At 44.6% G+C, this 16,814-nt stretch overlaps 1 long non-coding RNA gene across 4 annotated transcripts in view; it reads right to left on the bottom strand.

The window, feature by feature from the left end:
* LINC03122 (long intergenic non-protein coding RNA 3122) overlaps positions 1–10,364 on the bottom strand; it is a 93,238-nt gene extending 82,874 nt beyond the window's left edge. For 2 of the 4 annotated variants that reach the window (NR_126524.1, NR_126523.1), the window contains exons 1-2: positions 10,278–10,343; positions 4,724–4,797 (exon numbers count right to left, since the gene is read on the bottom strand). This is a non-coding gene — a long non-coding RNA (long intergenic non-protein coding RNA 3122). Of the gene's footprint in view, positions 1–4,723; positions 4,798–10,277 lie in introns of all 4 variants that reach the window. The other 2 variants (NR_161251.1, NR_126525.1) reach the window with 2 other exon arrangements.
* Between the last annotated feature and the right edge of the window lie 6,450 nt (positions 10,365–16,814).

Below are 16,814 nucleotides of genomic sequence, written 5' to 3'. Positions count from 1 at the left end.
AACAGACACTGGAAAGCAAGCCAGGGTCCTGCCTTATTACAAATGTACTTCCCAACAGGGTGAAAGTGTGTGTTCCTCCTGACTCACCAGCAGATATACTGACCTGTGTCCACCGGGATCCTGCATCCGGTCCTCAGGAGTCACCTCATTCTGCCTGCACACTTCCAGCCCCTGCTCTGAGAGGGAGCTGATATACAGACACTGCGCATGCAATATACCCAAACTGCACCCAACGGGATTGCAGCAAGACAAGCAGCTGGCTGTATGCTTGCCAGTCAACTTCTCCACATTCCATGGCTTCCTCTTTCCTTCAGAACTCACTTGTGCCTCACTGTACTTCTTAGTTTAATTTAATCCTATAGACTCCTGGCCTGAACACTCTTTATTATTTATAAAAATAAATAAAACACCTTTGCTTTGGCGCTCATGCATTCGTCAAAAAAGTATTGAGTGTCTGCTTGGTGGCAAGTGGAACTGGTCAACCAGACAGACACAGTCTCTACCCTCAGGGAGTTCATATCTAGAAGCAAAAGCAGACTTTAGGTACCAATTATTATTTAGTTAACATTGTGGTTGATGCTATAAAGCATAAGTTCAAGTTGACATGAAAGCTTAAAAGAAGATATTGTCTGTGACCTTGTCTTGGCAGTCCAGGAGGCTTTCTTGAGGAAGAGTCACTTAAACTAGTCTGCAAGGTAGCTAGAGATAGATAAGAAAGTTGAAGAACATCCTAGGCACAGAGAGCAGTATATAAGAGAGCCCTGAGACCTGAAAGAATGTCTAGATACCACAAAAGCAAAATAAAAAACAAATGAACAAACAGAGTAAGCGCAAAGAGGCCTGGCATCAGAAGGAGCTGGAGAAGTTGCTGGCATCCAGGAGGGGCCAGACCCTACCTTACCTACTTCTTGCTCTTCTCCAGAATACACAAGCATGACAAAGCCACAACCTTGGGCTCACTTGAGAGTTTTAACAGAAACATCACTGGCACTAATTTGCACCTAGAAAAATATATTCTTCCCTCTCAGGCAGCATCTTGATCATGTCTTGCCTTGGGAAAGTGTGTAACTTCTATCTTCTTTGTGATGCAGCATGGCTTCCAGCCACTTGTGTCCACTCAGCAGTTGCAGATTTGCAAAGTCGGCTTAGTGGAAGCAATCTGGTTGTGTCTCCTTCCCAGGGAAATGCACCTTCTGCTAACAGCAGTGGGCTCTGATGCATGTGCTTCCAGAAGCTTCCACCTACAGTTGCTCTTCTTCCTCAGTTCCTCTAGGTTGCTGGTTCTCAGGGGTGGGGCACTGTGGAAACTTGAGGGCATATTTTTGGTTGTTCCAATGATTGGGAAGCACTGGTGCATTTATTGGGCAGGGGCAGAGCTGTAGACATTCTGCAATGCCTCATAGAGGTGGTCCCAACCAAGAATTGTTCAATGTCCTACATGACTTTGAAGTCCCACCTGACATACGTATAGGTGAAAAATCTATTTATATTTTTCTCAGACTATGTTTTGCATATAAACACAAAATATTTTTTTGCACAATTCAATATATACTGAATTATCCAATCATGAAACTACAGTGAAAATTGGGGAAATATTTACCTTGTTTTGTTTAAAATCTTCCCCAGGGTTAGTCACCATTTCCAAAAGTCACATCATGGTATCTGAGTCACCAATAGGACACACCTGAATAAAGCTGTCTTTGAAACTCTTACATTCATAATGATGATATATATATGTCTTATTTTATACATGCCAACTCTAAATAAAATGTCATCAATATTTGATTAAATGTTGTTTTACTTCTCCTAAATCCAAGTGCTTCACTATCAGAAGAGGAAAGCTTTGAGGGCTTCTTCATGAGCCCTAGTTCCCTGCTACTACAGGAGAGGTCCAGAGACTGGTAGCATCTGCATTGACTGGGATCTTGTTAGAAACAAGAATCTCAGGCACCACACAGATCCACTGAATATGAATCTGCATTTTAATAAGATCTCCAAATGAGTCATATGTACTTAAAATTTTGAGAAGCTCTCTTCTAGTTTCCACAGTCCTGAGCATTGAAAAAAGTATTCTTTGATTATAATTTACTCTCCTTTTACTTCTCCTCTTTATTACAGTTAGGACATTACATTAAATTTTTAAATTATATGTAAAGTTGGGTTAGATTATCAATGAATTTTATCTAAAGAAAGTGATGGAAGTTACAAAATCTATTTTAGTGAAAGAGAGTGCTGGGTCTGATAGGGCTGAGGATGCTGCTCCAGGATCGCTTGAATTCAATAGCTGGGTGTGAGGAACTGCAGAGCTTCTAAACAAGAATAGAATACCAGAGTCAAATTTCTCTGGACTTGGCCATTTATAAACCCTGATGACCCCTACATCTATATTTCCAGCTATGAAATAACATGTCTTGCTCTCAGAGCACACTAGATATATCCCTGCTTTCTAAATAAACATTGGCACAGATTAAGTGTCCTGCTACCTCCTACGGGGTCAGGCTGCACTCACTTAATTATTCCGGAAATGTTTGTTGAACCCCTTCTACATGCAACGCAACATCACAGTGATGTTAGTCATATAAAGACAAAGCCCACCTTTGTGGAGCATAGGACAGTCTAGAGGAGAGCCAAGATGCTCACAAACAAGTGGATAAAGAGTTAGAAAGTGGTAAGTGTCCTGAGAGAGGTACAGGTAATATGAGTCACATGAGAATGTGAAAGGGACAGAGATTACTTAGAGACCATGGAAAGGTCACCTAAAGTCAACTGAGCCTTCTGGGACTTCCAGGAAACCCATAGCTTCCCTCAGCAGCTCTCTGGCTCCCCAAGCAGCTATTTAAACCTTTTCTGCTCTCCTGAAACCTAGGTTGCTACCTCTGCCCCGTCAACCTCATCAGCTGACCTTGTTCCCTTATTCTCAAAGTAAACTAAATCACCTGGTGGGAACCCCTTCCGAGTCTCATCACTACCTTCCTGCATCCTCACTGGCCCTGTTTCCCTCCCTCCTGTCGCTGTGACAGGGCTCTCCCTACTCCTGGGTAAGGCTCCTTTGCATCCCATCCCTCCTTTCTACCACCTCTTCAGATACCTCTCTAATGTGTGTATCATTCTCTCCCTCCCCTGTAGGGTCAACATTTCCATCTCTACTGGATCCTCCATATTAACTTTTAAACCATTTTAGCGTCTCACAATATTATTAGTATTATTTTGAGACAGAGTCGCACTCTGTCACCTAGGCTGGAGTACAGAGGTGCGATCTTGGCTCACTGAACCTCTGCCTCCTGGGTTCAAATGATTCTCCTCCTCGTCCTCCCGAGTAGCTGGGATTACAGGTGTGAGCCACCACACCCAGCTAATTTTTGTATTTTCAGTAAAGATGGGGTTTCACCATATTGGCCAGGCTGGTCTCGAACTCCTGACCTTAGGTGATCCACCCACCTCAGCCTTCCAAAGTGCTGGGATTACAGGCGTGAGCCACCATACCCAGACTTAGTGTCTCACAATATTATTTTTTAACCATCACCCAAACCCACCTTCCACTCAAGCTTCTGGCCTCTCCTCTCCTGCACAACCAAACGTTCAAAAATACAATGTGTCTGCACCCTTTATCTCCACATCTCCAACTGCAACACACTCTTCAACCCACTGCAACCAACTTCTGACCTCATCACTCCACAGAAGCCCCTGCCACCCGTATCACCATCCACCTGCTTGTTACTAAAACCAATAAACTCTTCTCCATCCTCATCTCACACGAACTTGCAGCATCATTTGACACTGTCAGCCTGTCCCTTGAGAAAGCTTCTTCCCTTGGTTTCCATGACACCGAACCCTGTCTATCCTCCCTACCTCTGACCTTTCTCTCCTTCTCAGTCTTCTCTATGGGTTACTCATCTCTGAAACCTGGTGTACCTTGGGGTTCAGTCCAAGGCCTTCCTCTCAATAAACACACTCTCTGGACCTGGCCACTTATCTCCTTTAAGGACTCCTATATCTATCACTCAAGCCCAGTTTTCTCTCTTGGGCAGACTTTTAGACAACTCTATTTGTATGTTCCAAAAGTACCTAAAACTCATAATATTCAAAACTAAATTAATTCATCATCTCCCTCCCCACCTGATCGTCATCCCTTGACCTCCATATCAGTGAATGGCAACAGGGTTCACTCATTTGCCCAGGCTAGAAACTGGGACATCATCCTTGCCTCTCCCCATATCTCCATACCAAATAAGTCACCCTTAATCATGCCTTACCCTGCAGCAAGTCATCTCACATGCCAGCATGATCCCTTCACCTCCCTGCTTAAAACCTACCCACAGCACCCTCGTTGCCCTCAGGATAAAGCCCAACCACAGTGAATTTCTTCTAGCACTCTACTTCCTTTTCATTCATCCTCCAACCTCAGACTACCTTGTTCTTTCTAAAGTATCAATCTGGTCAAGTAACCCTTGCCCACTTGCTTCCAGAAGCTCTGGTGGATCCCATTGCCAACAGGGCTGAACCAAACATCTTAGTGTATTAGGTTCTGTTAGAAGAAATATTAAGCATTCAGCATGGCTGGAATATTGCTCAGCATGTCTGTGGCACAGTGTCCTTCAGGAGTGGAAGAGAAGAGAAGAGAGGTGCATGCAGCCAGGTCAGTGTATTGGGTCATTCTTGTATTGCTATAAAGAATTACTTGAGGCTGGGTAAATTATAAAGAAAAGAGGTTTAATTGGCTCACAGTTACGCAGACAGCATAAGAAGAGTGGTGCCAGCATCTGCTTCTGATGAGCTTCTGGTGAGGGCCTCAGGAAACTTACAATCATGGCAGAAGGTGAAGGGGGAGCAGGTGTGTCGCATGAAGAGAGCAGGAGCAAGAGAGAGAAGAGGGAGACGTCACACACTTTTAAACAAGCAAATCTCATGAGAACTCACTATTGCAAGGACTGCACCAAGCCATCCATGAGGGGTCTGCTCCCATGATCCCATTACCTCCCACCAGGCCCCACCTCCAACACAGGGGGTCATATTTCAACATGAGATTTGGAAGGGACAAATGTCCAAACTGTATCATTCAGGAAAGGCCTTGTCTGCAAAAATAAGACACACAACTCATCCTGACAGCAATGGAAAACACATCTTGGCAAGGCTTTAAGCAGGTGTGGGGTTCTGTATAGTAGCCACTTTTGGTGCTATACACATCCCCTGGCCGCAGCTCTCCTCTGGCTTCAGCCTCGGCTGTGGTGGGCAGTTCCACATGCTTTCAGGCTCTCCTTGAGAGAGTCCAGCCACAGGCATGACCCACCTCAAGCTTAGACCAGCTACATTTTTGCTTTCTGCCTTGGGGACTTCTCCAGGACAAAAACAGTCACAAATGTGCAAACCTCCTATGGAGAACTGTGCACACACACGTGTACACACACATGCGTGTGCACACGCAATTCCCAACAGCTTCAGGATAAGAGAGAAGAAGGAGGCAAGGCTAAGTTCAATTGTCCAAGCCTGGCTGACTGAGAAATTGCAGGTGCTGCTGACAGAAACAGTGAGGGCCCCACTGGAAGACAGAGGCAGCCTGGGGTTAGAAAGTCCATGCATGGAAAAAAGAGCGGCAGGGAGGCACACCATAGGAGAAGTGGAAGTAGCTAGGGAAATTCAACCTACAGAAGAGGAAACTTAGAGAGGACAAAGAGCCTTCTCTCAGGAAGTAGAGTCCAGAAAAGGAAGGAAAGAGAAGGGTATGAGCTAAGGGCAGAAATCACCAGCAGGTGGATCACAGCTCAGTCTATGAACGTACTTTCTCATCCCTACTGTAGCTGTGAGGGAGTGTGCATCCCTACCCTAGGACTCCTCAAACAAGATGTTCAGGAGGTTGCAGATCAGATTCCAAAATCCCAAGGGCAGGTCTAGCCAAGTGAGGTTAGATCCAACTCGGAGAGTCTGGAGTTGTTCTCTCACTTCCATTTCCCTCCCTCTCATTCCTGATGCTCCCGTCTTCACATGTGTTGTGCAGCCTCATCTTGGGTTTTGCCTCAGGGGCAACTCTGAACAAGACTGGGAAAGAGGAGGCGCTGGCTCTACGTGCCCTGCACCCACTGCCCTCTCCAGGGATCTTTTCTCCTCCCCACCAGGAGCCCAACTCGATCCTCACTCCCCATCCAGACCTGCCACCAGCACTGCTGCAGCCCCAGGCTCTCTAACTCTGGCAAAACATATCTTTCCTGATCTCTGGGGTTAGACACTCTAATACACTGAGCTGTGCCCTTGACTTGAAGAAAAGTGACTTTATTTGTACACATGGAGACAGACCAAAGAGCCAGGTGCAGCTAGTCAGATGGGCTTTTAGTATCCCCTCAACCACACCACACACACACTCCCCTATTCCCCTAGGACACCCCTTACCCTAAAATCTTCACAGAGCTTTTCTGACAGTGGTTCTCAGAAAGGGCAAAGACTGCTTACACGTTTTGAGTTATACAATTTTTTTCCCAACGGTATATCCTTTGTTGTCCTCTTCTGGACAAAGGCGGACCTTTGACTCAAAACATTTGTTTAGGAGAGCAATATTCACTCATACACACAGACACGTCTATAGAGAGAGAGATCCGTTTGTTTTGAAATCAAATTGGCAAATTCATGATCCAATCTTCTGTAGGCAAAAGAGTTTCTTTGAACAAATTGTAAGCAAAGAGAAATTATTTCAGGTCCTTCATTCAACAAAAAAATTTTTTAAACACCTACAGCGAACTAGGCACTAACAGGGACAAAGAAAGAATTTCAAACGCATCCCTTGTGCTTAGAATTGCACTGGGAAGAAGAGACACTCAAATGTAGGAAGCCAAGTGACAACGCAGGCAGCAGGATAAGGTGAGGGCTGTATGGCTGGACAAACCCAGTGGCCCCTAAACCCTAGGATGCCTTAGAATCCTTGGGGTGTGGAGCCGTTAAAAATGCACAGTCCTTGGCTCTACCTAGGAGATCAGATTCACTAGGTCTCCAGTGAGTCCCAGAAATCTGCATTTTAAATAAGCTTTTAAACTATTCGAATACACGTGGTCCACAGACCACCTTTGATGAACACTAGTCCAGTCAGCAGTACTCTGTAGATGTCCAGAGGGAAAGGAAGCCCACTGGGCAGGCCCAGGAAGAGAGCTATTTTTGTGTTTAGACATGAAAAAGCTTACAAGGAATCCTTTTCTTTCCTCTGCTGCACAATTGAGTGTTTTGAAGGAGAGCCAATACCTTGCCATTATCTGGAGAATGTGCAATCGGCACAAGGAATAAAAAGGGACGCATACAGCTGAGTCTAGAGCTGATGAAACCAGTTTATCTGAATCTGATTCCAGGGCATTTTGATGCTGAAAGGTGGTGTTATGACTCACTGAAGCTTTCACATCTATTGTTTTTCTTTTCCTGGGTGGCTTTGCCAAAGACCTTATAGATATCATTATTTTCAGATTACTGTTATTACACACATTCTTCTTGAATAAAATGCTACCTTATTTTTATCTCCATAGAGCAAAATCAAGTTTCGGTTGTTTTCTTATCTTCATATGTAAAACAGTCCCAGCGGTTAAGTCTCAGATGGGAAGAAAAATTAACTAAAGCCTTGAGCAGAGATGTCCAGACTGAAGGCTGACTTAACGGTTTCCCCATGACCAAGTGGACAGGGTGGCACACCCAATTCCCTGGACACATGCCAGAAACTGGGCTTAACCTGCATCATGAGCAAATAAAGTTTCATTTAAAGAAAAGAGTTTCTGCAATTTAGCAAAAATGAGTGACTGACGAGTAACACTATCCAGAAACTGACAGATTGTCAAACCCGCCTGCTACCCCTGGGTCATTTCAGCCATGGAATTTCTGGCCCAGTGAGAGCAAAGTCATTGCTTTCTCCCTTGACAGATTTCTCTGTGGAGAGTTCAGAACAGAAGAGAGAAATATCTGCAAGCTTTCTGAAAGCCATGGGGAAGCTGTGGGATGTTGTGTCCGGTGCCTGCGTCGGGCTCCATCTCTCTCCACAGCAGCTCTCATATGTATTTATGAAACCGTATGAGGCTCCCTGGTGGGTGGCACTTTATGGGTGAATTACTAGCTAAAATTCAAAGGGGTTTTGATGGCAAATAGTATTTTATTCAATTCATAAGCTTCTTCTCCTAATTCAGCATCTAGCCTTAAAAATAGACCTTTAGCAGAGGTTGAGCAAACACCTGCCTGTTTTGCTTTGGCCCAGAACCTGGGCTTGTCTCAGACCAGCTGGTTCCATATGGGCCTCTGTAATACGGTGGCCTGCAAAATACAGGATTCCCAGTTAAACTTGAATTTCATTACAAAGAACAAATCATTTGCAATATAAGTATGTCCCTGCAGTGTTGGGGATAGACATGTACTAAAAAATTTACTCTTTGCTTTTTGGAAATTCAAATTTAACTGAGCATCTTGTGGTTTTATTTGCTAAATCAGGCAGGCCTACTCTGTCCCAGTGTATAAGCATCACACCGCCCTTGGTTCTTATCCAACATCCAGACCTATACTGGGGCTTCTCAGAATGGGATTCCCATGAATTTGGGATGCCCTGAGAGGTAGCGTTAGTAGTGAAAAAGGGGACCCTGCAAGGTGGAGGCCTCAAAGCCAGTTATTTCTGCTGCCGCCCTACCCAAGGAGAGTGTAGATGGAAGTAAATATCTAAATGCCCTCATTAGGGTGGGGCTGTTCCAACACAGGAATTACGACACACGGCCAGACTCAGAGGCTGCCCTCTGTTCTGTGGCAAAAGGGTCCCAAAGTACAGCCCACTGCTTAGCCTGACTGCCCTTCCTAAGTACTTCTTAAAGACTGCGTGTCCCAACCGGGCTCAAGCCTGTAATCCCAGCACTTTGGGAGGCCGAGGAGGGCTGATCTCGAGGTCAGGAGATCAAGACCATCCTGGCTAACATGGTGAAACCCTGTCTCTACTACAAATACAAAAAAATTAGCCGGGCATGGTGGCGGGCGCCTGTAGTCCCAGCTACTCGGGAGGCTGAGGCAGGAGAATAGCGTGAACCCGGGAGGCGGAGCTTGCAGTGAGCAGAGATCGCGCCACTGCACTCCAGGCTGGGCGACAGAGCGAGACTCCGTCTCAAAAAAAAAAAAAAAAAAAAAAAGACTGTGTGTCCCACTTTATCTGAGGGGCCAATCTGCTCAAGACATTTTTGAGCTGCCAGTCCCGAACTGCGTGCTTAAGCCCCAAGAGCTAGCAGGTATCCGCAGAGCCCCTGCACAGGGCTGCTGGGAGTTTCCATTGGCCACGCCTTCTGACCTCAGTTCTGCACTCCCATGCTCATTAGCTCCCTGCATTCTTGGATGCTCTTGAATATTCCCCTGCTCACCCTTCTTCTCTTGCCTGGTACAACCTTGGTAGCCTGACCCCAGAACTGGGCTGCTTGCCCTGGGCACCAGTTGGCTTTGTTCCCAGGCATTACTGCTGGGATTCGCTCTGGACTCTGAAATATGCCTCCTCAGCCAGCCCGACTGCCCAGATCCCACCAGCCTGCTCTGTCCAGAGAGATGAGACATTCGGACTATTCAGTGTCCGTTCATGCCATCTGCTGGGATCATGATTTCTATACTCTGGTCACACATTACATGAATAATACTTCCCCCATTTCCTCAAAAAGATCCTCAGACAAGCTCAACCCCCATGTGCTAGTAGTTCAGGATTCTATGACCATCCTAAGTTTACACAACCACTTGGCCTTGGCTGGCCAAGACATGATGGTGTGGGAGCCTAGGAAGACCCTTCAGAGACGGCAGCAACCAGACTCCTCTTCTCACAGTCCCCCTCCAGCTCTGGTCTGTCCTCCTCACACAACCTCCCCCTCACAGTTTTGGGGTCTCATCTTTGGACCCTCTCTTGCCCCATTTTCCAAACACATCATCCCTGGCTGTATTAGGGGTCTCTGGGGCAGCCGCACTATGCTTTGATAGAGGGATGAGGTAAAGTTATTTTCCACTTTATTAACCTGAAAAAGCATAAACCGACCAAGTTTAGGGGCCTGAAGCATATTCTAAACAGACAGTGTCTCCTCCCTGACCCAGTTCTCTTACGGAATCATGGGAACCCATCTCCTCGACTTAGCAGCGGCAGACAGGCTGGTGTTTCTTGGCATTGTTTTCTAGGGCTGAAGCTGCAGTTTTCCTGATTTGGCCCTTGCATATTATTTAATTGTTTATCTTGACATACAGGTTTATCCCAGAAGGGGATGTTTAAAAAGTGGCATGGAGACCCTGGCTATAGACAGAAATGCAGCTTAACTTACCTTGGCTTCCTTCCTGCCAGACTCCTCCCAATTATTCTGCAGGCTTCTTTGCCCTGAGGGCAGTTTGCAGCTCCAGGGACTGGAATTGGCTTAAAAAAAAAATTCCTTCCTCTCTGTGCCCCATGTGAGGGAGCATTGTGTTCTCTCTAAATAATCAGCCTGGCTTTGTGTGACCTAACTGGACAGGGCCCTTTGAGAGATTTTTCAGTTGCAGAAAGAGCAGTCAGTGGCATCCTACAAAATCAGAAAGTTTTCAGACCAAGGAGAGAAGTCAGTGACAGCAAGATATTTTTTTCTTTAAGTTGTATTGTGACTAATTCCTCTCTCCCACTGGTGTTTAGAGTAATTAGGTAAAAGTGCAACAGAAGAATCCAAATTTATATTTTAGATCTAATAAATAATAACATTTAATCAGATGATCCCCATCCATTAACACCAAAATAACAAACAATTCAATGAATTATTTTAGGGTACTTACTATGTGCAAGGCATTGTCAAGGTAATTATTTCTTGCATTTACTGATTTCCTCCTGGGGACGCAGCACTAGCAAGAAGCTAATGGATTAGAAAGAAGTAGAAGGCCTCCAGCTGACAACCCACTCAGAAGAGAACATGGATCAGAATTGCCTGCCTCCATGGCAGGCACAGAGCTGGGAATTCATAAGCAGAAATTACTTCATTCAATCATCTCAATAGCCCTGTGGGGAAGACAGTAGTTCTCCATTTTACAGATGTGGAAACTGAGATCCAAAGACTATGTATATAGCAGGCAGAATGATGCCTCCCCTCCTTCAAAAATTCTGAAGGCTGTGAATAGGTTACCTCAAATGGCAAAAGGGGCTTTGAAGAGGTGATGAAAGGTTTTGCAGTGGGGATGTTACTATCGACTTTCTGAGTGGGCCCAGTGTAATTGCCATGGTCTTTAATAAGGGGGTAGATAGGAAGATAAGAGTGAGAATGACAGGGATGTGACAATGGAAACAGAAATTGGAGTGATGTCGGGTCATGAGTCAAGGAATGCATGCACCCTCTAGAAGCTGGAAAAGGCAAGAAAACAGATTCCTCCCCCTCCACCCCAAGCCTCCTGAAGACGCCCTGCCCTGATAACCCACTGTGAACTTCTGGCCTCCAAAACTGTAAGATATCTTGGTCCATTTTCTGCTGCTGTAACAGAATACCACAGGCTAGGTAACTTATAAATAACAGAAGTTTATTTGTCTTATGGATCTGGAGGCTGGGAAGTGCAAGATCAAGGGGCTGCATCTGGTGAGGGCCTTCTTGCTGTGTCATAACATGCAGAAGGCATTACCTGACAAGAGAGCATGCGAGAGAGAGAGAGGAAGGGAACCAGAACTTCATTCTTCTATGTGGAGCCCACTCCTTTGATAACTAACACACTCCTGTGATTAACAGCCTTGATCCATTCATGAGGGCAGAGCCCTCATGACCTAATCACCTCCTGTAAGACCATGTTTCAACATTGTTACAATGGCAACTAAATTTCAACCTAAGTTTTGGAGGGGATATTAAACTATAGCAGTTATACATTTGTGTTATTTTAAGCCACTGAGTTTGTAGTCATTTGTTGGAACAGCAATAGAAACTAATACAGTATGCCCCATTTGCATTCCACAATGGATTTGAGGTGGTCATAGACAGTTGCTCCAGAGTGGTAGAACCAGTCAGGACTGCATGCTATCTAACTGGCCCCTGGAGTTCTGCAAGGCAGGGGCCCTAGAGCAGGATTCAAGTGAAGTCAATGTGCCCTTAAAGTCTATGTCGTTTCTTTTTTTCTGATCTGCTTCCTCAAGATAAAATTTAGGAGCAAAATGAGTGAAATACCAGAAGAGAAATATTCTGTAACATGACATGTTTAATGAATGAGTAAAGAGTTCAGGAAATGAGTGAGTTCTGAAAATGAGTTACTGGTGCATGCTAAAGTGATCCGGGAAGACTTGATAGAGGCAATATAGTATAACCTGGGCCCTGCAGCATGGACAGATTGGAAGTAGCATTAGAGGCAAACAGGAGGCCTTGCAGCTGAGGGAATGACCTGATAGAAGAAATGCCCCTGGGAACAGAAAGGATAAACCAACCTTCCTAACCTGTATCCCCACCTCCTACCCTCACCCTATTCTCTGCCTGTGGATTCCATTAAATCTTCCAACCAAAGCCTTGGCAAAGGCTTTGAATAACATCCTGTGGTCTTCCTTACTTTACAAATGCTAAGTCTTGACCCAAAGAGATATATTTCGTCTTTCTCGCCCACAGTTACCAAACAGATCAAGTCTCCCAGGTCACTGCTCCCTAGTCATTAGGAACAAAGCGTTTTTAGTTTTTCAAAGTCAACAAGCATACTCTTTGTCTCTGTAGTGGCCAGTTTGATTCAGCATGTCCAAATGAGGAAAATTTGGATTAGAATTCCAGACTTTAACCCTGGCCAGGAAATTTTGTCAAATACAAGGACAGTGACTTGAGAGATACACTCTTAAACCATCTTTAATTTATAATTAAGTAAATTGTAAGAGGGGCAGCATCTGACTAAAAATGGCTCTAAAGCAGAAGATTCAGCCTCTCTATTCCTGTGTTCTGCTGTCACCTGCAACATAACATTGAGCACACTCTGTTACATCTTCTGTGAAATGAGAAATTGGACTTAAAATTCTCTCCATCGCTTCAGATGCTTTGGGCCATGAGGCAACAGAAACCCTGATTCAAAGTGGTTTAAACATTTAAGGAAACGTCCTATCCTGTATAACAGAAAGTAGAGCAGCAGGGAAGCTTAGGGGTTGACTGATTGGGTGGCTCAACAACGTCATCAAGAACCTGGGTTCTTTCTATCTTTCTCTCTCTCTCGCCATACCTGGGTATCAGCTTCATCCTCGTGCTGGTAGTGAGACTGCTGTTGCATCTCCAGGCATCACATTCAGACACAAAGAATCCGGAAGAAAAGGAGGAAGACTCCCCAGAAGATGTCCCTTCACATAGTATTGGCCATTATTGAGTCACATGTGCCAATATCTGAATAAATCACCAGAAAGGAGACCCTCAAGAGGTGATGTTTCAGCCTCTCCTGGGAGTACAAAAGCGGAAGAAAACAGAACAAAATCACAATTCTGTGTGGAAGGAAAATTGGGAGAATTGCTGCTAGACAGAAAATGTATAGTGACCTCTATTCTCTCAAAGGTATTTCCAGCTCTAAAAATTTCATATATTGAAAAGCATTTGTTGCCTAACATGGTTTAAACCCAGACCACCAATTCACATGCCTACATATAACCAAGCACTGTGCTATTCACCCAAGAAACAGCAGTGAGCAAGAGGCATGGAGCTTCATGCAGCGACCAGTCTAAGGGATCCTGACCACATGAAAACCATAACCACCAGTTGCATTGTAACACCTGATTTCCAACAGTGGCCCCGGGTGAGGCCTCATGGTATTGGTGATATAGATAAATGAGAGAAAATAGTTGCTGTTAATTTAAACAAGTTACATTTAAAACATTGACCAATCAACATCCCTGTCTACCCTCGGACAACCTAAAGAACTCTAGTGGTGTTACACAGTAAAAAGCGGGGTAGTAGGTGGTGTGTTACATTTTCTTAAAAGAAAATTCAAATTGGCTACTAGAGTTTTTGACCTCACATTGACCATGGGCAGACTGTGTCTTTTTAAACTCATTTCCAGAGTGCTTGAATGAGGAATGACATTTTTCCTCCTAGTGTAGACCTGGTCCCGAGTTATTTCCTATGGCTACAATGACTATTCTAAGGAATGGAGAAAATAGAGATGGATGGATGTTTGATGGGAAATTTTACACTTCTCGTGAGTCTTTTTTTTTGTGGGGTTCTGTATGTTTGCTCAATTGCAATTACCTGTGTCTTTCTTCTGTGGCTGGATTAGTAACTATTCAATTCATCCAAAGAATAGAACAGTGCCACTAAAATGAGTGTTCTTCTCCCAACAGGATACTTAGGTTTTGACTGAGTAATCAAACTCTGCAAGAAATTTCACCAACATATTTATTATACCAAGTGACAGGAACAGGAGATATGTTTTGTTATATAATATATTATAACTAACTAGAAGAGTAGACCACAAAAACTTCCTTAAACATGAAAGTCACACCTGCCCATGTTCCTACGTACATGCAGTGATAAATTTCTGTCCCCATTTCACAACCAGGTTTACCAGATGACCATGCGAATAAGAAGCATATAAAGCAATAAGTATACTTGAGTGAAAGAATAAAGCATTTTTAAAGTTCCAATTTTTCCACTGAATCATTGCTGCCAATTGTTGAACTATGGGTAGGGAGAGTGGTCTGTTCTTGTTATAAGGCTGGGATTTGCCATATAAAAGTGGGCCTAGACAGCACAGTGAAGCGAATTCTATAATTTCTGCAATTACAATTAAAATCTCTGTTCCCCCTCATCAAGCTTCTAAGCAGACCTACTCACAGATGTTACCCTGCCTCATTTGAGGTCCATTTCTATTTCCCACCCTCGGTGGAGCTGCTAATAAACAGTGAAATGGCCAAACCAAAGAGAGAAAAGAGAGAAGAACCAAAGGCCAGAATCATCTATAAGTTGAATAACTTGTACTTGAAAAACAGTGGTTTAACAGTAACCAAATGAGAGTATGTGCCTGATTTGTCCATTCTCTTTCAGGCTGTCATTTCAGGTCCTGGCTTTATCCTACCTCACAGGCCATGTTATTGAAATAGAAAAGCCACATTAATTTGGTGGAGGCTTCTTATTTGATGTCCTTAAAATCACATATAGCAGTGACTTTTTTTTACAGCATCTTTCACCTTCTTGCATGAGGGTTTTCCTTAGGTGGAGGGCTCTTGAAAGTACTTTGCATTTCATTCTCCCAGGATCTCTGCTCTGACTCTTGATACATTAGTCACAGTTCCAAGAGGGAACAGGGTAAATGACTTCATAGTCAAAACCCAAACCTAAACAGATGGTTCCTTTATCCCAAGAAAATGCAAAGACTTGTAGGTCTCCTGTGGTAATGGGATTTGGCCTGAACGTTAAGGGATACCAGAGTCAGCAGGCTGGGATTCAGGCCTGGGAGCCAGGCATCACGGGCTTTCTTCTTATTTCAACTCCAGGCCAATTGACTATGTGGTCTTCCAGCCAAGTATTTGCCCAGGATATGCTAAAATGACAAATGCCTGAGAAAACCGTAGGTAGGCTGACCCCATTCTCCAAGTGTGGCCTTGAACTACCAAATACATCAATTCACCGGAGGACTTGTTAAAAATACAGATTCCTGGAGCCTGCCCCTGGAACTCACTGGAAAATTTTATGCTCACTGAATTATGAGGACCACTTCTAGACTCTTCCTACTCAAAGTGTGGTCCTGACACCAGCAACATCAGCAACACCTGGAAGGTTGTAAAAGATATAGAATCTCAGGCCCTGCCCCAGACCTACGGAATCAGAACTTGCACTTTAACAAGGTCCCCAGACAATTCCTTGAAGTGTGAGAAACATTTTGCTAGCATGGTTTGGCCCTGTAACCTAGTTCTCATCAGCTGGGAAGTGAGATGCAGCTGGGAAGAGCAATGCAACAGGAAGCTTCTTCTCAACCCTAATCTGCATATTAGGATTCACTAAGGAGCTTTTCACAATACTGACGTCAAGGCCCTACTACAGGCTAATTTAATCCAACCTCCTGGATTAAGAGCTCATCTAATTCCAATGTGTAGCCAGAATTAAGAACCACTGTTCTATAGGAGCAAAACTCAGAATCAAAGCTTAAAGCCCTTGGTACTAACTACCCAGCCAAGTCCCACTCCCCTAAAAAGCAATCCGGCATTTGCTTGAAGGGATTCCTAAAATATTTGCCCTTTCCTAAGAAGAGGCAGCATCGGCCTTTTGAATGGCTACTCATTGTCCATGCTTCATAAAAATATGCTGGGCCTCCACTCCCCGGGAGCTCGAGGGCAGCGTTCCCGTTTCTGTTTCCTTTGTTAACCAAGTCCCAGCTCTGGGCTTCCTCGGGATGGGAAATGGCTCCTTCTGAGGCAGCGTTTCTCTTTGCCTTTTCTGCCCCTGGGATTTGTGATTCTGGACAAGGCATATGCCTTCTTACCATGTCATTTTCCTCATTTGCAGAGGGAAAACACAGTGTCCATTGATTCCTTTGGTTAAGCTGACTGCTGCCCCTGGCTCACGTCCAGTGACTATTTCTCTGTGCAGCAATCCTCAGCTGGGGGCGAGCCAGGAGGGAGATGGCTGCCCACTTAAAGCACAAGCCCCGAGTGCTCTCCGTCCTGTGAGCTCTCCAAATGCCAGCTTGCTCAGCTGATTCACTTTGACGCAGGCAGGTTCATCAGAAAGCCTTGGAACAGGTTGGAGAACAGAAATGCCACTGGATTCCTTTGAATTGTGTGCATTTAAGTGCAGGCTCCAGTAGATCCAGGCTCTAGGACTATAAGCCTTTCTTTTCACAGGAAACCCTCCTAATTGGTCTGATAAACTTTCTGGGACTCAAAATAGAACCACAGCACAGGGAAGTATCAC

This window comes from Homo sapiens, chromosome 5 (assembly GCF_000001405.40).
Source record: "Homo sapiens chromosome 5, GRCh38.p14 Primary Assembly".
NCBI lineage: Eukaryota > Metazoa > Chordata > Mammalia > Primates > Hominidae > Homo > Homo sapiens.
The sequence above is the reverse complement of the archived record's forward strand: the minus strand, read 5'-3'. Positions and strand labels throughout refer to the sequence as shown.